The 25,317-nt window shown below is 39.2% G+C and overlaps 1 protein-coding gene across 10 annotated transcripts in view, besides 2 other annotated features; it reads right to left on the reverse strand.

Annotated features, from left to right (window-relative positions):
• SLC10A7 (solute carrier family 10 member 7) overlaps nucleotides 1-25,317 on the reverse strand; it is a 267,960-nt gene that overhangs the window by 9,882 nt on the left and 232,761 nt on the right. For all 10 annotated transcript variants that reach the window (XR_007057973.1, NR_133924.2, XR_001741332.3 and 7 more), the window contains one exon: nucleotides 19,330-19,403. Coding sequence is in view for 6 of the 10 variants with exons in the window: in NM_001317816.2 (NP_001304745.1) it covers nucleotides 19,330-19,403 (74 nt within the window). In the remaining 4 variants the exon portion in view is untranslated. The remainder of the gene's footprint in view (nucleotides 1-19,329; nucleotides 19,404-25,317) is intronic.
• Nucleotides 5,396-5,455: an enhancer, noted in NCBI's record as "active region_21981". NCBI's record gives its function as "activates an Ori minimal core promoter by ATAC-STARR-seq in GM12878 lymphoblastoid cells {active_cell/tissue: GM12878}" and the evidence as "EXISTENCE:reporter gene assay evidence [ECO:0000049][PMID:35858748]".
• Nucleotides 9,679-9,888: an enhancer, noted in NCBI's record as "active region_21982". NCBI's record gives its function as "activates an Ori minimal core promoter by ATAC-STARR-seq in GM12878 lymphoblastoid cells {active_cell/tissue: GM12878}" and the evidence as "EXISTENCE:reporter gene assay evidence [ECO:0000049][PMID:35858748]".

Consider the following 25,317-nt stretch of genomic DNA (forward strand, 5'->3'; position numbering starts at 1 on the left):
TTCCACCAAAAGCATTTCCCCATTGCTCTACAAGTACACTGTGTGGATAGATAAAGAGCACTTTCTCAGCACATTACTACCTGATCCAAACACTTGGGAAATCACTAATGTACAGCATGCCATATTTCCATGTCACACATGACACATTTGTCTAAAATTATCCAACAGAGTTTGACACTGCAGCATATTCCATAAGCAGAGCTTTCAACTGACATCTGCCAAGTAGCAACTTCAAGTAAGAGCTTTCTTCCTCTAACAAGCAAGTAAGGATTTTCTTTTATCCTATACCCAGGATGGAAAGGATAAAACAATATGTACAAGAACAAGTTTTTTTTCTATTTTAAATATGTTTATTTTATGTTCTCTGAATTAAAAAATTCCCTTTGTATCAGTGTTCAAGCTTCAATAATAACTACTTTCTATTGGATGGACAGTTTTTTATTTTTCCTTGAGAAACAGACATTTTTCTTCTTAGATTAAATATGGACTTTTATTTAACTTCCACTGAAGGCTGCTCTATTGTTCACAACATAAAATGATCTACTTTACATTATTGTTCAGAGCTTACTTACTTGTGTAGGTGTGCTATGTTCCTACCATTCATTCATTCATTCATTCATTCATTAACAAAATACTTTTTGGGCCTCTGCTATATGTGAGTTACTGGTCTAGGTGGTAGGGATATCAGGAGAATGGCCCAGACAAGGTGCCTACTTTCTTGGGTGCTGCCTTCTCATAGCATTTGTCCTAACCATGTTGGCTTTCTACAATTAGATGGGTGAGTGCCAGCCCCTCACAACTCCTGCTGCAACTGCAACTCCTACAGCCCCTGCAACTCCTACTGTCACTAGCTTACCTACTTTCTACCACCCAAAGTTCGGGGATCATCTTTGACAAATTCTATTTGTTCTTCCACCTCTAGATTAAGTTACCAAATTCTGTAGATTTTTTTCCTCATTTACCAGTCCCTTTTCCCCTCAGTTTTCACTGCCATCTTCCTAATTCAGCTCCTCATAAAATTAAGCTAAGATTATACTTATAGCCTTCTGACATAACTCCTTGTCTTCAGACTCTTCCCTCATCAATCCTACAAATCACAGTGAGATTAATATTCCCCAAATCCACAGTCATTAAAGCCAATACCCTGCTCAAGAGCTCCAATGACTTTCCAGTGTCCATTCATCAAATCCTCTACTTATTCGACTTCAGTAAAAAACAATCATTACTACCACTATTATGTAAGCACTACTGGATGCTAAGTGCTCTGCCTGCACCATCTCCTTTAAGCCTTACAACAGATCTAGGAAGTAGGTGGCAATTTTCCCATTAAAAGATGAGGAAACTGAGGTTTAGAGCAGTTAAGTACCTTGCCTAATGGCCTACGCTGGTATGCAGTGGAGGCAGAATTGGACCCCAGTGTGTTTACTTTTAATCTCTAAGCTGTGTTAACTGCATTAAACCAAAGTTTCACTTGCCAATTGCTATCACTGGCTCAGGGCTGGCACTTTTTAATCCTTGTTAAAGCTGAGCCCTGCATTTTTCTCCATATACCTAAATCCTTTGGGGTCACCAAGGCTCAGTTTTCTATTTTCCTCCATGATGAAGGTGGCTTTCCTATTGATTTCTTCATTTTTTGGAAGAATGAAGCCACTCGTTCTAGATGCATCACATAATTTAGCCTTTGATGATGTTGCCATTATTTTCTTTTGTGTAGGTTTTGATTTTTCCTGAACATAGGCAAAACACTATATTTTTATTTTAATTTCCTGCAACATTTAAGCACAGGGCTGGTGCTCAATACATAAATAATTGGTTATTTATGAATAGGTGCTAAAGTAATGTTTCCTATGTTGAAAAAGATAGGATTTAGAACAAATACTAGTTGCTTCACTAGACTTTAAAGACAACGCATTCACATACTGCTCTGGGAGAGGCTTATATTTCACAGGGCAAAAATAGATTTGATATGGCAGGAAGGAAAGAAACTGGACTGACGAAGGAATACAAAATTCAAAATGAGTACTGAAGTATGGAGTAAGCAAGAAAATGTATTGAAAAACACACGTTGTGCCTTTTGAAGTCTAATATTACATGTACTTTCCCACTTAGCATGAGATAGTATACTCCAATCACCTGGATCATTTCTTGTCTTTCAAAGATTCATTCGCCTGAATTTACATGACTTGTTTTCCATTTAAATGCTTTCTCTGACTTTTCACTGGGTTTTGGAGAGAGCTGCTGGCAAATCTGGAATCCAGTTGCTTCTCTCTTCAGTTGTCATGGTGATTTCTCACTTTTGTTTAGTTTGCTCTTAGTTAGAAACATCCATAAGTTTACCATCCAAATGTCCTAACACTGTTATTTGAATTCTATTTCTTCCTCCTTAGTGAATCTTTCAGAAAAGCTCATGTTTGCCTTTAAAATTCATTGGTATAGATGGTCCCTTTAAGCACAGTGCAATCCAGGAGGGAAATTGCTATTGAGGAACACAGCCACTCTTCAGACATCACCAAATGCCAATCTTTTTGCCCCTACCCACCACACATGCCCATGCACATGGACACACACACACACACACATGCACGCACACACACACATACACACAGACTTTCTCTTCAGAGACAAAATAGTCACAGAAAGTCAAACTCACAGCCACTGATTTATCTCAAATAACTAAACAAAGGGGCAATTATACATTTTTTAGAGTATGAAATGATGCCTTGACAAGGTAAAACAAGGGCTTTGGAATTTGGTTAGAAAAGGCTTTCAGTTAGGACTATGCTAAAGCAAGCTAATTTCTAGTAATAATAGTTGTTTTTCAAGCAGGGATTTATCATTGATCATATCCAGTAATGTGCCTGAGGCTGAACAGTGTAGCAGTTAAGAAGCTTGGCGCAGAAGCTGGAGAGCCCTGGGTTTGGATCTCATGTCCACCACCATTTACCACCTGTGTGACCTTGGTTGGGCAAGTTATTATTTAACCTGTTTTTACATGAATGAAATGCACCTACTTTGTCAGTTTTTGGATTTTTTAAAAATAAAGAATAAAATAATATAAAATGTCTGGTATATAGCAAGTGTTCATCCATTATGTGCCAGGCACTCTTCTAGGTGCAGTGAATACACCAAAATTCCTGGCCCTCATGGGAGCTTACATTCTTACTCATTTAATAGGGAGACAAGACAGACTGTACCATGCCAAAGTTACACAAAGAGCAATTGCACCCAATACCAAGATCATTACACAGGGCAGTGGAAAAATGCAGCACTGTCGTATGAAAAAAGATGTTAGATAAAATGAATTCAGTGAGCAGTTCAGTCATTTTAATTTTCTCTCCCTTTTAGAGGGTGTCAAAAGAAAGGCCACCTCCTTACAGGGTGGTGGGTATGACTTGCCTGTGAGATCAGTCTGGTGCTGCCCCTACACTAGCCTACAGTGTGGCTTTTTGGATCAGGCAGGTTTAGTCTGCACAGCCCCCAGAATTCCATTCTGTTCATAATCTGACTATTCTAGGACTTTCCTCAAACCCATTCTGGAACCTTCCAAAGGCTGGCAACTCAACTTTCTGCAGAGTCCCCCAGGAAGGGGTAAAAGATCACAGATCACGTGACCTGCTCTCATTGCACCCATCTAAGTGATTGGTCTTTTGCTCAAATTCTCCATGGTATTTTAACATGCAGATTGTGCTGCCTTACCCTTGCCAGTGATTTATGTTTTACTTGCTTCCCTGTTTTTGTGTGTGTCATTCCATTTTTAACTAAAAACTGCCAAATTCTTTGGTAGGACCCCAGCACAAGCATCAGAACCTCTACTGTTGCTTTATGAGACACATAAGAGAACATTTTTATCCTTTTCATACAAAGAATCATATCCAAAATGAGGTGTGGCTAAATGATACATGCAAATTGGAGCTCTTTAATGATTTTCTCAGTGTCCTAGGGTTGGGTTCACTGAATCTACTTAGATTTAGGATTTCCAAATTGCTAAATAGAAAGCCAACAGCAGCGCCTCTGGGATGTCTGACAAACCCCCTTTGCTAGAGCTCTGGCAGAAAAACAGGACAATCTTGCACCAGTTTATCAGATATGTACCAATGGAATTTTAGTTTCCAACCTCTGAAGCCTGAAAAGTGTCTTAGGGTGATCTCTGTGGGTGGCATATGAGGGAAAGGAACATGTTGAAATCCACACAGGACGTGTCAGCCAAACGTGCTGCACAAACTGGACCTAAACCTTCCCTTTGCTACCGACTAGGAAACTGCTTTCCTGTCGAGCCTTCCTATTGCTCTCCTGCCTACCTTCCTGTCTACAATTAAAAAGACTGGAAGCTCAAACTTCTTTTCTGGTGTAGTCAGGAACTATTCGGCTATGCTAAGTAGATGTTTATGTAAAACTTTCCTAAGAGACTTGGCCTTCCCTCATATTTCAAAACCAGAATTCAAAAATATTCCTCTATCCAAAAAGAGGAATCAGGCCTGGAAAAGGAGGAAAATTAACAAAGATAGGTCATAAACTTGATGTCTAAGGCCATTATTAAAAGAAAGGAACGATCTTTCCAGTAATCTAAGACCTTTAGAAAAAAGAGAGCATTATTCATGTTCTAGTTTTCCAGCAGTCACACCTTACACAGGACTTCGGAAGCCATTATCTGGAGTTCACAGATATTTTGGGTTTTCATTTATTATTGGTAAGGCAGAATATTGATTGTAGCCAATACTTACACAGCGTTTACTATATGCCAGGCACTGTTCTGAGAGTGTACAAGCATCAGCTCAACCACTCCTCACATCCATGATGAGTGAAACTACCATTGTTATCCTCACTTTTCAGAGAAGGAAATTGAGGCAGCAGGTAAATAGAAATTTGCTCAAAGCCACACACAGCATCAGGACATAGCTGGGGTGTGAATACAGACAGACTAGCTCTAGAGTCTGTGCTCCTCTGCATGCTATGTGCCTGAAATACCTGAAAAGAATTTGTCAGGGTACTTAGGAACCCTAAAAAAGGGGTGCAAGGGGTGCTTTTTAATAAGATAGAATAATGGATGGTAAAATGTAAGGAAAATAACCGTTACACAGAAAAGTCTGAAAGCAAGAGAGATACACCTTTCAATAAAGGTGCTTATTACTTGGCAGGCTTTGAATAAAGGTTGGTTGATTACCATTTTTAGGACATTAAGAAAATTAAAAATTGTGTTTTAGTCTTCAACGACCCAGGCTGTAACCCCATCACTTTGCTGAAAGTTTTATGTAAATAAAGATGCAAGAAAAGACCAAAATGAGCAGCTGGTGTTGCTTCTGTTTTGAAACAGGTATGTTGTGATTGGAAAAGATGTTTAATGAATGGCCTGAGCCGACTCACCAGGTGCTGACAATGAAAGATTTAACTCTACCAATTGAAGGTTTCTGCCTCAGAAGATCAGGTACACCCTCACCTGTCTGACAGCATTGTAGGAGTAACTAGCAAACAGGGAATTCAAGAATGAATTAAAGAACTGAGCCATGAAGTCTTCGTTCCAATACTAGCTGGGTCTTCCAGGAGGGGTCACCACGTTTATGGAGACAAGCTTAGCAGGAAGTAGTGAGATTACTTTTTCCTTTTCTAGGCTGTGAATGAAGAGTTGTTTAGTCTTCTAAAGAGACAATCTGGCTAATGTTCACACTCACAGGATGTGAAAACATCAAAAATAGAATGAGAATTTCATATGACAAAAATAACACAAGGTCAAAAGAATATATTTAACATAGTCACCAACACAGAACTGGCCTCTTCTGACTGGCTCTGGAACTGTTGTCCAATTTTACAGAGTTTTTTAGATGTATTTTTATATAAATGAAGAAAAACACTTGAACCTATTGAGTCTGATGCAAAGCAAAGCTGGATGGTATGACATGAGCTTTCGTTGACTCTGCCACTGCCCCACAACCTAGATGTAGTTTTCCCTAAAAGGCTGCATTGATAATTTCATCTTTAGACACTGGAACTTTCAGAAGGCTTCCAAATGTTAGTTAAAAAGTAAATGTGAGTAGGCTGTGACCCAAATGCACATTAACGATTTTTAATATACATTTTGTTTTGTTTTGTCAACATGACCTTTAATTACCTTCCAGTGGTAATTTTCCTTTTCATGGTACTGTGTTTATGTTGAACAAAAGCCTCAGAAGAGATTTCTTCTACATAAAAGAATGAGGCAGTTTTGATTTGGGGATTAAAAACCAGACTTATTTGTTCTTAGATCCATGTCTCTTAAAAAGGTTGACTCAGGTTTCTGTGATTTATCTAACCTAGATGATGTCCTGATAATCTACTCTTGGCCTTTATTTATTCTCAACAATTATAAACATTTGGCAGTTAGGACCTCATTTAGAAGACTTCTAGGCAGAAGAAATTTAAAAAACCCTGGAAGTCACTTCTGAAAATAATTATGTTTTTCTATTCTCCTCTGTTTTCTCTTCTGAATATTTAACATACCTAATTATGACACAACTAATTCTGGTGTTCAGAATTAGTACACAAATGGTCAGTTTTGGTAACCAATGGGTAGGTACAACCCATCTCGCATTCTTTTTGGAACCTAGTAGAACATAAATGCATACAGAGTAAACGAGTCTAAATGCAGTGGTTCTCAGCTTCCGCCACACATTGGAATCACCTGGGTGGCTTCTAAAAACTATGCTGCCTGGGCCTATCCTGACAGATTGAGTTAACAGGTGTTGGGCAGGGTCCTGACATCACTAGTACGGCACAGCTCCCAGGTGATTCTAATGTGGGCCAGGTTAAAGAGCCAGGTCTGGTATTGCGGTGGAGTCAGAGGACTCTGGAGGTAGACAATTCAGCCATGGTGCACCAGCTCTGCTATCTATGTGAACTGGGGTGAGTTATTTGACCTCTCTGAGGCTTGGTTTTCTAGTTTGGACAATGAGAGCAAGCATAGCTATTGTGCAGGGCTATTGTAAAGATTACATGCATTAATAAGGCAAATTAAGTGCCTAATGCAGTGCCTAGCACATGGGCGGTACCAAATAACTGCCAGACTCTTCTTCTAATACTTCAAAGTGTCTTCACATCTGCTTTGTGATTTAATGTTCACTTCAACCTTGTGGGATAGGAGAAGAATACGGGCTTGCAAGTTTGGGTGTCTATAGGTCTGGCTGATTTAGACTTTCATATCATTTCATTATTAAAATAATTCCATATCCTCTCTGTCCTCTGGAGAATCTCAGGTTCTCAGTCCGTGGAGCTCTTTTCTCTACACATTCCCTTAGTGATCTCATCCAATCTGATAGTCTAAAATAACATCCATAGCCTGCAAACTTCAGCCTGGATCAGGATTCCAGACTCCACTGGATGTCAAAAAGACATATCAAACTTCACATGTGCAAATCCAAACTCTTGATCTGTTCCCACATGACTTTCAACCACTAACATCTGCTCCTCTGCAGTCTTCCCTAAGCCAGTAAATGGATCCTTACACCCCTCAGGCCAAACATCTTGAATTCCTTTCTTTTACCTACATATCCAATTCACCAGCAATTCCTATTAGTTCTGTGTTCAAAATGGATCTCAAATCCAAAGCTTCTCAACTCTTCCACCCCTATTACCTTTGACCAAACCACCCTAAACTCTTGTCTGGATAAAAGCCTCTCTCTTGAGTCTTCCTTTCTCACTGCCACACCTTCCCACAAAACCCCAGTCTACTTTTAACAGAACAACCATAGGGATCCTTTCAAAGTAGAAGTGAGATCTTGTCCCTCATCAATTCAAAACCCCCAATGGCTTCCCCTCTCATTCTGAGTAAGAGGCAAGTCCCTACAATGGCCAATAAGGCCTAACACAATATTATTGGCCCCTCTCCCATTACCATTCCCCGGTCTCCTATCTCTCACTCATTCTGCTCCCAAGGTGAGCTTCCTCCTCCTTCCTCCAACATGCCAAGCGCACTGCTGCCTCAGGTCTTTGCCTTCACTGTTCCTTCTCCTTGGAATCTCCTTCCCCGAAATATCCACAGGCTTGCTCCCTATTTCCTTCAGGTATTTTGACCCAATGTGCCCTTTAAGGCTGAAACCTTCTCATCTCCACCCTGGCATTCCTGATTCTCCTTTCTGGTTTTCTTTTTCTCCATTGCTTACCACCATCTGATGTCCTGTATATTCAAGTGTCTGCTTATTCCCACTAGAAATTTTGGAAGCTAGATGAGGGCAAGAACTTTTTTGGTGTTTTGTTCACTGCTGTCCCCCTACAGCCTAGAGCAGGGCACATAGTAAGTACCAAATAAACACTTGCTGAATGAATGAATGGATGATGTAGATTATGTTTTAAAAGCATCTTTTCATTGGCACTGTATAGAGCAAACTTGTAGCAAAGGCAGCCCTGGGAAGTGTCACAGCTACAATTTCATTAACATGCTCAGCTTCGGTACAGATGACATTCCAAATCAGCTGGCTTCCTGGGGCCCAGGAATCTTTTGAGTTGTGTCCAATTTTATATCTCCTCCTGCCCCTAGGGTAACTTGTCAAAAACCTACTGGGTACCCCATAGCTTGAAAAAGTGGGTAGCTAACTTTAATTTCTGGCTGGAGTTGTTTGGATGGGGCTGTAAATGGGGACATACAAGGGGAAACTGTTACCCTTGCTTTGCAGCTGTAGGCTCATGTATTCTTTACTGCAAAGAAGCATGGAGCGGGCTGTCATTAAAGACACTCAACCTGGTTTCTAGTGTCTGGTTCAATTAAGAGAACTTCTAGGAAGAGACATGACCAAATAAATAATTGGAGAGATGCAACTCTGAAAGGACAATTGTTTTTTATCGATCTCTGTTTGCAAGTTGAAATTGAGAGATACAAACTTTAAGTGGATGGGCTCTCCTGGGTGAGAGTCTTCACTTCAAACGCAGTAAATGAGTGTTGTTTTGTGATGCACATTTTAGTACTGCTAGAGGTAAACTTTCTAAATATTAATAATAATAATAAACAAATCCCTCTGCAACTGACAGCGAGTGCACAGATGAACAGGGATTTCCAGGAAACAGGCTGTTCTGGTCTTCTGGATGTGGCAAAGTCTTCATCAGAAGGGACAAGCTCCAGAACAACAGAAAGTGTGCCCCTCATTACTTTGGAATTCCCCTTTCAGGAGCACTGAGGGCATGTGAGTTGATTTTTAATGGGTAAAATTAATCTCTTTAGAGCCATCTCTATTATAAGGTATTTTTTAGTTTGAAATTAATAGGAAACTATGGAATTAAAAGCTTCTAATGCTAAGAGCTGTCATTAGGAAGCGCAGTGACAAGGATTCAATATACTGTGAGGTGCCACTGTACAATATGTGGGATTTTTCATGTCTCCTTGCCATTGAGCTGTAGGTGACAACTGCAGGTAGAGCTTAGCTAGAATGAAGCTGACACATGCAAGCACTTGGCCCCTCTTGTTCCTGCTCCATCACTCAGGCTGAGCAAGCATCAGATAGCTAACACGCCACTCATAGGTACATCTAGAGGGCTGGGTGGTGTGATGGAAAGGACGTGGGCTTTGAAATTAGAGACCTGAGTTTAAATCCTCACTGTACCACCCACCAGCTATATAAGCAGATGATCTTACCCTAACCCCCCTCAGTTTCCACATCTGACTCAAATGAGGTTAAAATAACTATCTCGAAGGGTGGTTAGAGGTTTCAAGTGAGACAGTGTATGGGAAGTACCTAGTATAGTACCTGGCATAGAGTGAGCATCCCCAAAATGATAGCTATTAGGATTATTATTGTTGCTGTTGTTGTTATTATTATTATAAGAAGTAGCATTATGAAATAGTATTATGGGGCTCAAATTTAGCAGTCTACCAGGACTGGCCAGGGAGGGGCTTGTCACTGAGATCATTCAGGATGAGGTGTGCAGCACTTCTAAAACACTGCAGATGGTGATGCTGTGGACTGCCCTGGGAACTGAAACTCCCTCCCGCCGATGCTGCCCAAACTCCCACTGGCCTCATCTGTTTACAAGCCCTGTATTCTTGGTAAGTGCTCATGATCATATTTGGTCTACTGCCCCTTTCAGAACACTGACTTCTGGGAAGCAGTGATTCCATCTCCTGTTCTTTGTTTTAAAAAAATCTTTCTACAGTAATAATTGTGTTGTAAGAGTTTTAAAAAAATCACCTAGGTCCCCTTTCATAAAGGGATTTATATAAGGATAACTTTCAAATGGCATTCTGAATTTATTTTAAATATGCTTCAGTTTTGCCCTCAGCTTGCCAGGAAGACATGATCTTAAAGAAAGCAAGCTGCTTCTGGAGGGAGTGCTAGGTATTTTGGGCACTAAATGGGTGGTTCTCTTTTGTTCAGATTATACTTTTTTTTTTTTTTTTTTTTTGAGACGGAGTCTCACTCTGTCACCCAGGCTGGAGTGCAGTGCCATGATCTTGGATCACTGCAACCTCTGCCTCCCGGGTTCAAGTGATTCTCTTGCCTCAGCTTCCCAAGTAGCTGGGATTACAGGTGCCTGCCACCCCGCCTGGCTAGTTTTTGTATTTTTAGTAGAGACAGGGTTTCACCATGTTGGCCAGGATGGTCTCAATCTCTTCACCTCAGGTGATCCACCAGCCTCCGCCCCCCAAAGTTCTGGGATTACAGGCATGAGCCACCGTGCCTGGCCTAGATTATACCTTATATTAATAAAATACTGGCATACTTTTACATCCAAATACTGTTGTTTAACCAGATTAATACAAATGAAACTCAAAAGGACATTCGAAGTTAGGCAAAATGTGGTAACCACAGCTACAAATTAGAAAAACTGGAGCCAGGTTTTTATCCTTCCTAGACAGGACCACAATATCATATATTGAAACCATGGAATGAGGAAGAAGGTGATTCCTGGAAATTAGGGTCCGGGCCTACTGCATTTGTTTTAAATGATTGCTTATTATTATACAATACTTAGTAGTATGTCATAAGTAGTTATGTCATAAGGATATTCTTTTGGCTGATGATGGAATATAAAGTATTTCAAAGTGGGGTATATTGTGGCCAGTCTTAAGTAAGAAAAACAACAACCAACCACCCAGAGTTGACTGAAACTGGTTCCTACTGTCATCAAAATGCACCTACACAAAACCTGACTGAATATTCTGCTAGATCAAAGCTTCCTAAGAATCTGGGTACATGAGCTAGCACATCTGAAACCTGAGAGGTGACTCTAGATGGCAATAATGAGTGGCTTTCAAACTTTAATGTGCATGATACCCTCTTTTGAAATATGTTACATGTGTCGGACATCAGGGTTTTATCCTTAAAATTCAGAATCAGTAGGCTTGAGCAAATCTGTTTTGTTTTTAAATTTTTATTTCTTTTAAGAAACAATGTGCTATAATTTTGAGGATCACTCTTTGAGAAATGCTGGTCTATGGTGTCCATCCAAAGGGCTCAAGATTCTAAAGCTACATACTTAAGCCCTTCAAAATCAGAATTACTGAATAGTAGAGCTAGAAGAGCCCCAGAGATCATCTAGTCTGAACTTTTCATAGCCAGTGGACCACAGGGTTGAGATGTTTCACAGCACAGGGCTCTTTCTGCAGAACTCTCACTACAGCTTAGCATGGTGGCTAATAGCTAGGCCTGGGCTTGATTTCTGGCTCTGCCACTTGGCATCATGTGACTTGGGCAAGTCATGGATCACTTGGGAACTTCCCTTATCTAGTGTGATTGTGGAAGTCATGTGAGCTGGTGCCCACAAAGTATTTATGGGAAGTGACCTACACCAAGCTGGTCATGTATAAGTTCTGGATTCTTTCCAGCAGATAAGGTATAAGCAGGAGATAAGGTATTCCAGCAGACAAGGCCAAAGGAAGTTTAAGGTAGGTGAAGCTTAGCTGTACTACTATAATTTTGCCAGCAGGTTTTAATGAAAGTAAGTTGTTGCCCCCATAGAAGTTTTTTTTTTTTTTTAAACTCAACATACACTAGTAGTTCAACACAAAAATATTTTATGCAACCTACCCTATAAAATGGCAGTCTCAGCTTGGACCTTTTAGGTGCTCTCAGAGCACCTTGCATGAGAGGGTCCCTCAAAGCTACGTAATGACATTCCAGAGCAGAATTTGGTGATCTTCCAGTCAGATTCAGGAAACCACAGATCCTCCCAACAGTAGCTGGACACAAAATGAGGTAGGGATCACTCCCGCACATCCCTGATGGTTTCATATGTAGACTATGGGATTTGCCAGATTCTTATAGCAAGTGGGAAGTCTCTCTCAAACTTTTAGGCAGTCCAGATATCAATGAGAACCCATTTATTACATTTATCATGCAAAGTAACAAGTCAGTAATTTCACCAATCAAAATAATGAATTTCTGTATTCATTATGCTAATTAGTAAGGTCTCTGGTTGATAGAGATATAACAAAAGTATTTGTTGTAGCTGCCTCTGGAGTGAGTATTTCCCTTCTGATAAAGTTGTGGCTGAACACTACAGTGAAAATTTTCTGTTAGAGCAATTGGCTGTTCCTGGCACTGAAGTCTAAACTAACAAGTACATACATAATTACCACACTGTCCACAGAGAAGTATTTTAAAGTAAACTTTATGTAACTAGCACTTTGCACAATGTTTACCTATTAAATGCCCAATTAATGTTTGCTGCTATTATTACTATTGAAAATGTGTTGAGTAAATCAAAAAAGGTATAAAAACTGTTACATAAGCTGAATAAAATAATAATCTAAATAAAAGAAATCTTATGCAAATTAAGAATCACTTTAAGTCTTAATTTAGCTCTGCTTCCTACATGGTATCAGAAATTTGGGTTAAAGTTCAGTGAAGGCCTGGTGCAGTGGCTCATACTTGTAATCCCAGTGCTTTGAGAGGCTGAGGTGGGAGGATTGCTTGAGGCCAGGAGTTTAAGATCAGCCTGGGCAACATAACGAAGCCCCCGTCTCTACAAAAAAATTTTTAAAAATTAGCCAGGCATGGTGGCTCAGGCCTGTAGCCCCAGCTACTCAGGAGACTGAGGTAGGAGGATGGTTGGAGCCCAGGAGTTGGAGGCTGCAGTGAGCTATGATCATGCCACCGCACTCTAGCCTGAGTGAGAGTGAGACTCCATCTAAAAAAAAAAAATCCACTGAAAAAGGGACAGCAGAAGCCAAAGCCTACGTGGTGACTATTTGAGGAAGAAGGTAAAACCTTCTCGCTAAGCAAGCTATAAAGCAATCTTTTTTAGACCTTGGGTTGTGACCCATTAGTGAGCTACAAAATCAATTCTGGATCACATTGTAAAATATATTTCTAAATGTAGATTGTGGTTAAAAACATTTGACGTGGAGGAAGAAGAGGAGGAATAGAGCATGAGAGTATCAGGGTGAACATCTGGCATATCATTAAGATGAATGATACTTGAGGGTCAAGCTGGAGATCTTTCAGAGAAGCTTTAATATCTTTAATTTCATACCTGCTGTCTAGAACCCTGGGGACTTTCTAAATTTTGATTGCAAAGTCTAGATATGCTAGCAATGATTTTCAGATACCATATTCTGAATAAAAAATCCAAACCAAAAATAGTTCAAAAATCTCTAAAGAATATTATTGTATCACTTTGTTTGAGAACTTCCATTTCTCTCTTTCTTTATGTGGATCAGAAAATAATAGCACAAAATGACAGACACTCCCTCACTTTTCTTTAGCCTGGTGGTAAAAATCTACTAGGTCCATAATTTTAGCAGCATCTTTAAGAATCTGTCAAATGGCAAAGACTCCCAAACTGCCTTTCCTCACAGAACTGTAACTCTGAAGGAAATTGCATGACAGGAATATATTTATGGCTACACTCCAAAGATAGTCTTCTATTTTCTGTCGTTCCTCTGGATTTCTATTTCAACTTTAATGGGTTACTGTGAAACGGCAATGTGGCTCTTAGTTTGCAAGAATGGAGTGCAGACAGTGTTGCCTCATGAAAGGTAAGGCTGGCTCACTAGATCTACTTTAAATAGAATATAACTTTTTATTTTATTAATAATAAAGAAAATGTAAGAAATGAGTATCAGTTTATGACTGGGCCACATGGAGTATATGTTTATAGGAGCAATTACATTTGTTAAGTATTTTAGAACTGTCTTATAACCAGCAGTGTAATCAGAAATAATTTTCTTTTTAAACAATTAATAAAACAATTCAAACCCATGCGAAGATCAAATATTTATAATACTTGGATCCAGTAAAGCAATTTTTGGTCTTCAAAGTGTTTTCATATCCTATAATCCAATGCAGTTCTGGAAGTTAGGAGGCCTGGAATATAGTTTCTGAGATATGATCTGGGATAAGTTTAAAGATTTTTTTTCTATGCTTTCATTTATTTTTATGCACAATAAGGCAACAATTACTGACTTGCTAATATTCAAGATTGTTTAGGTAACATTATATTACAGGGTTAAGAGCTTTAATCTTTTAGACCAATTGTAGAGTAGTTTTATTAAGATAAGATTCTTTATGTACCAAGTAGAATAGGCTTTGTGTGGAAAATAATACCAGAAATGCAAACTTTTGTATTTCAAATCAATTTCCTCTTGACAAAATGACTCAAATGTTATTAAATGAGATTTTTAGCCGAAGTTGTAGGTAATTCTTTAACATTCCTAAGAAACTTCCAATCAAATGGAAAACAAGATCCTTTTAAGATTATGTTTCTCCTAAGACAGTTTGGAGGGTCTGAAGGTATTTTTTAACCTCTTTAGGAAGAAGCTATAGACATATTTCCTTTTCTGTAATATGTTAACATTATTTATATAACTATTCCTTTCAAGAACTTATTTCCTTTGCGCACATAATAGGGAAACTTGTTATTTCATAGAGCAGAAATATCAGTCACAGACTCACAGAAACTTAATACTGGAAGGAATCTCAAGTGTCATTTTGTCCATCTTCTCATTGTATGGATGAGGAAATGAGGCCTATGGCAATTAAGTGATTTGTTCCAGCTTTTGGTGAGAGAACTGGAACAGGAATCCAGACTAGAATCAGGGATGTGCTCTTTATCCTATGTCTACCAGAAAGCTATATTCTTTTAGCTTAGTGCACAGGTTCTTGTCATAGTTCAGCTGTGTAACTGCAACTAGACCCATAATTAAGTACATATAAACAATGTAAGAAATAGTTTCCTTGATTTGCCTTTGTACACAAATGTCTGTAAATGGCAAGATATACAGTGGACTTTTAATAAGCATTGATGATGGTACTCTATTTAATATTTAATTAGCATTCATTCAATTCAGAAGTACTTTTGGAAATAAGAAATTTGGAGTCTTGCCATTGACTGCTAATAGTCAGCTGACATACTCTGAGGTTATGTGCTTTCAGTTTGCTATTTAAAAACATTAAAAACTAACACAAACATGCTTAACTTAAGGACCTCAAATGTCCTGAAACATTTGCTTGCTAAGTATCGTGAGAAAGTTTTCTGCATATATTGGAACCCTAGATAAGCAAAGTGATTTGAATACTCAAGAGAAAAAGATAAATAAGATGGTAGTAAAATGCCAATTCTACAGGATATCTTGGATCTAATTTCTTTCTTGACGAGATCTATTGACTGACTGTGCACTAAGCCATTATTAACTAGGATACAAGCTGTTCTTCAATCTCTGCTATGTAAAATATCTTTTCATTATTACATAAAAATTGCCATCAAACTAGAGAATACTTTGGGAGAGTTCATGGCTTTTATGGCAACCCACAGCAAGTGATGCTGTCTTGACAAAATATAAAATTACCTCCAACCCTGAGCTGAAACTATAGGAGAGCAGCAAACAAGCCCTGTAGTATTGTTTTAGATGAAGCACAGTGATAGCTCTGCACTTCCTTCAGGCCTCCTCTTTCTTCCTGAACGAACTCCAGGGAATGGCATCATGTCAGGCTTTCCAGATGGATTATGTGAAGCCATAGCTCAATGTCATTTTCAATAGGAAGCCTTATAATTAAAGGTCAAATAGTCACTTCATCTGCAATCAATCAATAGAAAAAGTACTAATACGAAGAACTAATCAATCAATGGCAAATGCACTAATAAAAGCAATGAATCAAATTCAGCATGTGTGTAGATGCAAGTACAAGGAAGAGATCGAGATAGGGCAAAAGCAAGAACAATAAAATAAATCGAAGGTGTATATAAGAGAATACTCAGAAAGCTTCTCAAGCAAGAGTTTTCATGTTTGGTTTATTAGTTACATGGTTGCCTCTTGGCCTGCAATGATTTATTCTTGAATACAAATACTAGATATAATAATGAATGGTATTTTATATTTCACTTAATGTATTCTACGTGAGATGTTAAAGATGTGTATACACATATATACACACACATATATAATCAGAAGAAATACTATGATAGTGACTGCAAATGGAAAGATGCATTTTTAAAGTGCCAAATAGTTATATTATAATCTGTTATATTTCATCTTTGTGTCAGCAGTGAGAGAAAATATAACTCTAACTGATATTACCTAAAATTTCCCCTTGCTTTCTGGACTATGAAGTCCTCATACTCCTTGTGATGTTCTTGCATTTCCATGCAGGGATGTTGATATTTTGGAGGCTGTGTGTGTATGGGATCAAGCAGTATGTGAGAAATCTCTATACCTTCCACTCAATTTTGCTGTGAGCCTTAAACTGCTTTAAAAATATAAAGTTTATTAAAAATAAAAACAAACAAAAAAGAATTTCCATTAGGACTATTATCAGCCTATATCTCAGGTCACTGTCATGGCCTATCCTCTGTACCAGAGATGTCAGGTCACCAGTAGATCCATGCATTGGATCTTGTGAAAATGGATACAGTAAATTTATAGTGCTTAACAAGAACATTCTAGCATTAGTATCTAAACATCCCTTGCTGTATGGGGGAAATAGCGGTGATCTGTCTGAGATAAGGGAAGCAGCAAAGAGGGCATTTTCATAAATACTATCTAAGAGACTGTAAGACAGAAGCCAAATATGATCAAGGGATGACAGAATATTGGAGCTGGAAGTAAAATTACCTAATTTTAGAACCAAGGAAACTGAGGCCCAGGAAAGTATCAGTGGAAGAGCCAGGATGAGTATTTAGGTCTTATAATTCCAAGACAGCCTATGTCTATCATGTTATGAAAGTAGCTAAGGATTACATAGATATTACACTAGTACAGCATCATATTGGAGGATCTATTTCATGGTAGAACACTGCAAAAGCAAACAGAAATCCAATTTAACCCAACCCTTTTTAGCAAAACAACTACTTCATAGCACCTATCTGTTTGCCTGAAAATTAGCTTTTGGAGAGTACAAAGGACAGAAAATATGACTTTAGGATTAAGAAAAATAAAAAGACAAAAAACCCTGAATGGGTAGATATTCTGCTTATAGAAAAGCACACTGTTCACACTGCTGTGTGCTTCCTGAGTATGCGTTTTGCTCTTTGTTCAGCACAACTAGCTCTAGCACAGAACAGAGAAACAGAGAAAACCCTTTCTGGTTTTCCTGACAAAAGCAAGTCCTTAAAAGTATCCCAGAACTTGAAGTAAAATCAAAAAAAAAAAAGAAAAATAAGAACAATCTTCAAAATAGAAAAAAAAAAAAGTGGGTCAGGTTTGCAAGCCTGTTGCAGAAATGTGGGAATGTATTTGGTGCAGCCATGGTTCGGCCTATGCTCTAAGGATACAGGCTCATTCGATCCCTGCACTCTGTGTATCTGAGGAGTCTGGCAGCATCTGCCTCTGGACTCACTAACTTTATAAAAGTCCCTCTGGTTTTAGAAGACCTGAGACACCAGGCAGTACATGACAATAACACACATGGGAAAGAAGTGTAAGATGATTTCCTTGAGGTCAACAACTAAAATACACTTGTTACATGAAAATCTACAAGACAGGGGTCAGGAGACTCGAACCTTGGGAGTGGTAACATAGTTGTAACTAACATAGTTATTAGTAATCAATAAGAATAGCTACACCTTATAGAGTACTCACCAAGTGCCAGGCAGCACAGCAAGCTATTAGATGGGCTCTCTCATGTAGTCCACATCAATCTACTTACAGTATGATTATTGCACACATCTTGTCATTTATTGACTACCTATTATCTACCAAGTGCTGTGCCAGGTACTTAACAAATTTAGACTTTAATCTTTACAACAGCCTTACAAAATGAGTGTTATTCTGCCCCTTCTACAGATGAAAAGGTTAAGGTTCAGGGAAGTTAATTGATTTGTCTAAGGTCACAAAATTAGGATTGGAATATGGTTTCTAAGACTGTTTCAACTTCAATTTAATGATGATTATAGCTACACAGATACAAAAATAGAGCAGTGCATAGACTATATATATATAATTCAAATAAGCTGAAGCTCTCAATAACAACTGCTCCTAAGGGTTTGTCCAATTTCTAAATCATGTTCCAAACTTGGTAAGACTGACAGTAGACTATCAGACAAATATGTTTGGGATTAATAAAAACATTATGAAATGTCTTCATTTTCTAGTTCACAGACTGAATTTCCTTAACATAAGCAGACTAAGAACATTGTAATGATTCTTCATTCTCTTAAGTGACTCATGTGCTAAAATGTAGAGAAATTTTTAATATGAGTTTTTGCCATAACATGCCCACCACCCCAAGGAGTTTGTGACTGATGTATATTTCAATAAAGCTTCTGATTACTTAATGACTTTTAATGACTAAAAACATAGATTCCGGATGTGTAACAGGTTATTGGGATAATGCCACTAATTGGATAAAGCTAAGTAGAAAATAGCACTTTTCTTCTTAATCCATTTTTGTCCATTAAATAAATACTTATTTCACTTTTAGTGCTAATCTGATTGAGTTAATGATAACTATATTGTTTCTTTATAGAAATAACATTCAGAAATAAGCATCAAACTAATGTCAATATCAAATTAGAGTAATAACATTATTCCCACCTTGCTCTGAGCTGCTGGAAAATAAGTTAATCTTTTCCAGGGACAACTCTAGGGCCTGCCAAAGCAATGTTTTTGCCAATTCCCTATTTAGAAGTAGTTTCCACAGCATCTCCACCCCTGCTCTAATGTTACATTCTACATTGGTAATCTTGTATGAGAATTGAAAATATGATTATAAATTAAGCTAAGTTTTACAGTGTTAATTTTGGCCCACAGAGATTTGTTCAATCAAATAACAGAATTTCAAAGCAATGACCCACCCTCACTTTGCTACTGTTCCTTATCTAATAGTGTGGACAACACCCCATTCCATTTAATTTGAAGAGTTCTTTGAATATCAAAGTCATAAGATGTAACTATATGAGGGTAATAGGTGGTTTTTAACTCTGTGAATCACTTACCCAATGTAAGGGATTTGTGTGTAGAACAGAAAATGATAGCCACTGTGTCTGCTGGTGTGAAACCCGAATTATTCCTAGGGGCAAAAAAAGATTTTGACAAATACTTTTATAAAAAGCCAATTTAACACATTCAAAATCAAATGTAGTACCTACCTTTATGTTAACATCCCTTTGATCAATCCTGGTGACAGTAGTAATTCTACACCCAAATGTACAGAAGTGTCTGGATTTCTTTTTAGAGAACTACTTCTGAGTCATTTATCCATGAAAAGGAGAACAGTTGTAAAAATGTGTGGTGGAGGTCGCCTAAGATCACGTATATAATCAGCCCCTGGAGCAGGACTGATTATAAAAATAATGCAACAAGGAACTCTAAGTCTCTAGGTTACCACTTGAAATTTACCCAGTGGCTTGAAAGGATAAATATATCTCTAAAAATGCTCTTTTCAAGGAGCAACACATCCTTTTGGTAGCAAACACACACTTAAGAATACAGGGTATGAAAAAAGATTTAACATCATATATTTTAGTAAAAACAAATTATCATTTTTTGAGCAGTATCATGTATAGGCATTTCTCTAATGTCTTTACATGTAAAAGCAACAACCCCAAAAGGCAAGTGATGTAATGTTCCTATTTACAGATGAGAAAACTGAGGCACACAGAAGTGTATAATGTACTCAGGGCCCATGGTAGTAAGTGACAGAGCCAGGATTCAAACAGAGTCTAGTTCCCAGGCCTGTGTTCTTAATTACTATATTCTACTATTGTTATATACTATGTTAAACATTAAAAAAAACCTCACTGAGTCAAAACTAATTAAATGTTGTGGGGAGTCAGTACTGGGAATTGGATGTCATAATCAGATTTCCTGTTTTAGATAATAAGGGTTTAGAAAGCCAAAAAAGTTAAAAATGTCATTGTTATGATTGTGCCCTTATATTTTAGAAACTATTCTTTCCTGTGGAGTCAGGATATCAGGATTTGACTATATAGAGTCTATTCATTCCCTGCTCTGAACTCTGACAGAAGAGTTAGCAAATGGAAAAATGTTCTAGAAACTGACTCCATCTATACAGTTGCAGATATAACAATGTACCTGATTTTTAAGGCTCCCTAATGAAAGAGACCCAATCATTTCCCTTAGTAATCTCATCCCCATGCACGACTTTTGCTGGGAGAAAACTCTTCCCTAAATAGATCCCACATCCTGTTTTTCTTGTTGTATACCCACAGGAGGAGAGAAGAGTCCCCTCAACTCCCCGCCGGGTTCCCCCATCACCCCACCCTGCTTCCTCATCCCCTGTGCCTGTGTCAAGAGAATATTTAAAATGGCCTTTGGTCTCTCTTCTGAAAAGGCATGCATGTTTCTGCTTCCTAACCAGTTGTACTTCTAAGCTGTTTCTTGGTAACTTTCAAACTGAATTTTTGGTGTCTCACTTCAGTTGAGGATTCCCCATGGATGCATATCATATACTCTTATTGAGTATAATAAGACTGGCTTAATTGTTTCTACATTTTATTCTCATATTGATATTGTAATAGCATTCTTGTTTTTTAAACATTGCATTACATGGCTTTCATATTTCTTCATCCCTTTATTCCTCACAGTAGGCCTAATGGGGAAGGAGTTCCATAAGGTTCCGTAAATGCATGGGCTGAGAGATGAAAGCACTACAGACATACATGAGAAAGAGGAGAGGAGAGAGAAATAGAGTGCTTTCAGCTGAAAGAGAAGGATCACCTCTAGCTTGGCAGGGAAAGTAGGAGATGATGATAGAGCACAAATAACCTTCTGGGAAAAAATAACAATTGAGCTGAGCCTTAAAGAATAGATTTAGATATGTGCAGATGTGTGTTTTAGATAGGGGACAGTGAGACTGCAGTATGGGAGTGTAGGGGGCAGTTGGCAAAGAACAGATTCTTCAGGCTGACTTGTGTGCAGGGACACTGGCTTATGATCAGGAGTATGGAGTTGATATGATGGGATAAGGGGAACTGCTGAAGGAGTTGGGACAGTAGAATGACATAAGTAGATCCATTCTTAAGGAGAAGTGATCACACAGCATGGTGTAAGACTAAAGATGGTGAGGCTGGGCAGGAAGCAGGGAGCTCTAAGGGTCTAAAGAATCAGAGTGAAAACAGGAGATGGTGGAAAGAGACATGGAGATAGGATGAAAAGAATTTCTGTTAACTTCTGTGCAACAGTACCTCCCAACAGCTCAAGAGTGCAGGCTTTTGGAGCAAACACACCTGATTTTAATTCCAGGCCATCCTTTTTCTCATATGTAGAATGAGTATAAGACCTTCTGACTCTTAGGATCAATTGTGGGGATAAATGCCAGTGCTTGTTAAGAATGTGGCACAATGTAAATGTTGAACACAAGCTAGGGGATATTGATATTATTATTATTGCTTTGAGAGAGAAGGAAGAACCAAAGAGAAATTAGAAATTTTGAGTATATGGAACCAAGAGGAGCATTAAGGAAACAGAATTAAAGAGGAGGCTCAGTGAGCCTTGGGAAGGAGGCCAAGGAGTTGATGCTGATGTATGCTAGATTTGTAGTGGTGAGAAGGACTGAGTTTGTAGTGGTAAAAAGGACTGTGTTTGGAGTGGTGAGAAAGACTGTGTTTGGAGTGGTGAAAAGGACTGAATTTGGAGTGGTGAGAAGGACTGAACTTGGAGAGGTGAGAAAGACTGAATTTGGAGTGGTGAGAAGGACTGAGTTTGGAGTGGTGAGAAGGACTGTGTTTTGAGTGGTGAGAAGGACTGAGTTTGGAGTGGTGAGAAGGACTGTGTTTGGAGTGGTGAAAAGGACTGTGTTTGGAGTGGTGAGAAGGACTGTGTTTGGAGTGGTGAAAAGGACTGTGTTTGGAGTGGTGAGAAGGACTCTGGAGTGGTGAGAAGGACTGAGTTTGGAGTGGTGAGAAGGACTGTGTTTGGATTGGTGAGAAGGACTGAGTTTGGAGTGGTGAGAAGGACGGAGTTTGGAGTGGTGAGAAGGACCGTGTTTGGAGTGGTGAGAAGGACCGTGTTTGGAGTGGTGAGAAGGATCATGTTTGGAGTGGTGAGAAGGACCGTGTTTGGAGTGGTGAGAAGGACTGAGTTTGGAGTGGTGAGAAGGACTGTGTTTGGAGTGGTGAGAAGGACTGTGTTTGGAGTGGTGAGAAGGACTGAGTTTGGAGTGGTGAGAAGGACTGTGTTTGGAGTGGTGAGAAGGACTGTGTTTGGAGTGGTGAGAAGGACTCTGGAGTGGTGAGAAGGACTGAGTTTGGAGTGGTGAGAAGGACTGAGTTTGGAGTGGTGAGAAGGACTGTGTTTGGAGTGGTGAGAAGGACTGTGTTTGGAGTGGTGAGAAGGACTGTGTTTCGAGTGGTGAGAAGGACCGAGTCTGGAGTGGTGAGAAGGACCGTGTCTGGAGTGGTGAGAAGGACCGTGTCTGGAGTGGTGAGAAGGACCGTGTCTGGAGTGGTGAGAAGGACCGTGTCTGGAGTGGTGAGGAGGACTGTGTCTGGAGTGGTGAGAAGGACTGAGTTTGGAGTGGTGAGAAGGACTGTGTTTGGAGTGGTGAGAAGGACTGTGTTTGGAGTGGTGAGGGCTTGTGTTTGCAGTGGTGAGAAGGACTGTTTGGAGTGATGAGAAGGACTGTGTTTGGAGTGGTGAGAAGGACTGTGTTTGGAATGGTGAGAAGGACTGCGTTTGGAGTGGTGAGAAGGACTGAACTTGGAGAGTTGAGAAAGACTGAACTTGGAGTGGTGAGAAGGACTGAGTTTGGAGTGGTGAGAAGGACTGTGTTTGGAGTGGTGAGAAGGACTGTGTTTGGAGTGGTGAGAAGGACTGAGTTTAGAGTGGTGAGAGGGACTGAGTTTGGAGTGGTGAGAAGGACTGTGTTTCGAGTGGTGAGAAGGACCGAGTCTGGAGTGGTGAGAAGGACCGTGTCTGGAGTGGTGAGAAGGACCGTGTCTGGAGTGGTGAGAAGGACTGTGTCTGGAGTGGTGAGAACGACTGAGTTTGGACTGGTGAGAAGGACCGTCTTTGGAGTGGTAAGGACTGTGTTTTCAAGAAATCTGGCAAAGGGAAGAAAAAGGTCACAGGATATTTGACTATGATTATAAAGAGAAAGTGAAGACACGGCAGAGAGAAATACCTGATGAACATAGGTCCCAAAGAGGCCTGAGAAGCCAAGAATAAAGAAGTTATCTGGAGCAGGGCATTTCCTAACATATCTGAGCTGGAAGCAAAAGTGAACAAGGGGAGTGAAAAATATGGAGATTTTTCAGGTAGAGAACGGGCAAGCAGAGGCAAGTTATGTCAGAGATTTTACTTTCTTTGTAAAGTGTGAGCCAACTTTGAGTTAATTCCAAGGCCTGGGAATCAAATACATTAGAAAAGTTTGAAATTGGCAGATTGGAGAATATGAATTACAGTCAATTAACAATGAATAAAAAAACTTCCATGCAGGAGTGAGTGCCCTCCAGTGATTGTAGAACATGTAATGTGATCAGCTGTCCTAGGTAGGGGATGTTGTCCAGCAACGTTTGTGGTGTTAGGAGCACTTCAAAAACTTTGTCTTTTGTGGCCCTTGTTTATATCAGCCATGGCTGCATCTGGGTTTATGCATTTGGTTTTCTTCCTAGAGTCTTGCACTACACTTTTCCTTTAGTAAACTGTGTTCGGCTTGATATCTTGTTCTTTTCAAGGTTACAGCACATTTCCAGTGTGTCACAGTCTCTCTGGTCAAGGAGGCTCTGAATTAATCTGGCGCTGGCTGCTGCTCACTAGAGCAGCATTCACAATGTGGCTAAAGAGGATATTTGCAAGATACGCTTACTTGTCCTCTGTTTCAGGTAAGGAGGCTAAAGCTAGGGCCACACTGGGAGATTTCTGGCTCATTGCTCTCAGTAACACTGCTCTACAGTCTTATCGACAAAAAGTCCATGAGTGGGAAGGAGGATTAGAACCTTAAGGCATAAAAAGGGAACATTTAAGGTTAAAAACAATATTCCTCCTCAATAGGGTTGACTTGTACTCTAGCTATGTAGGACTGGAGCGCTGTATCGGGGAAAGCTGATAGAGCAGATGCTCACTTAACCCTCTCTTCAGGAGGGTGGTAAATTACCACAGCATAAGCATTATTGAGCATTTTTCTAAGCACGTTGCAGCCAGTATTACTTCCTTCTCAGAAAAGCCATACAAACAGATAGTGTTATTGCTCTGCTTTTTCCAAAAACGGAACTGGAAACACAAGTAGGTTAAGCAACTCCCCTAAAGTCACACAACTAGTAAGTTGGTTGCCCCAAACCTTGGTCATAAGTTTGCCCTTTTGAGAAAGACAATATTAAAACCAAAAACACTACAAAATGTAATGGGTGAGGGCAGCTATCTTGGTAAATAATCCACCCTTAGCCATACTCTGTCAAGGGGGACTTCATGGTACAAGGTCATGACAAGACCCAGAAAAATCAAGTGTCCTGTACATCATATTTGAGTAGTAATGACTAAAATTATTCTCACTGATTAACATCTCTATTGGGTCTGCTCACATTCTTGAAAGGAATCACATTACTATTTATTTTCTAACTCTACCTTATCTCTTTTTAATATTGATTTTCTTTTTATCCTGTTTTTAATGATTCTTTTGATCACTTTGCCTTCTCTTGAGATATTTATTTCCTTTTCTTCCCAACTGGTCTTTTTATTCTTTCTTACAAAGCTTTCAATCAGTGTTTTCCACATAATGTTTATTTTGCCTTCCTTTGCAGTACCCACAGAGGAAAACATGTCAGGTTTTACTAGTAGAATCACAGAATGTAGAACAGAAAAGGTCCTTTGAGATACTTCTGTCTAAGCCCACTATTTTCAGAGGAGGAAACTTCCAAGTGAGGCCTCTTCTTTGTTAACCTCTGTACCTGTGTTTTGTCTCTGCTCGTTTTCAGAGAAGACCTCTTCCGTCATTAGCTGGGTGGCACTGAACAAGCTACCCAGGG

Source organism: Homo sapiens, chromosome 4 (assembly GCF_000001405.40).
Source record: "Homo sapiens chromosome 4, GRCh38.p14 Primary Assembly".
Classification (NCBI taxonomy): domain Eukaryota; kingdom Metazoa; phylum Chordata; class Mammalia; order Primates; family Hominidae; genus Homo; species Homo sapiens.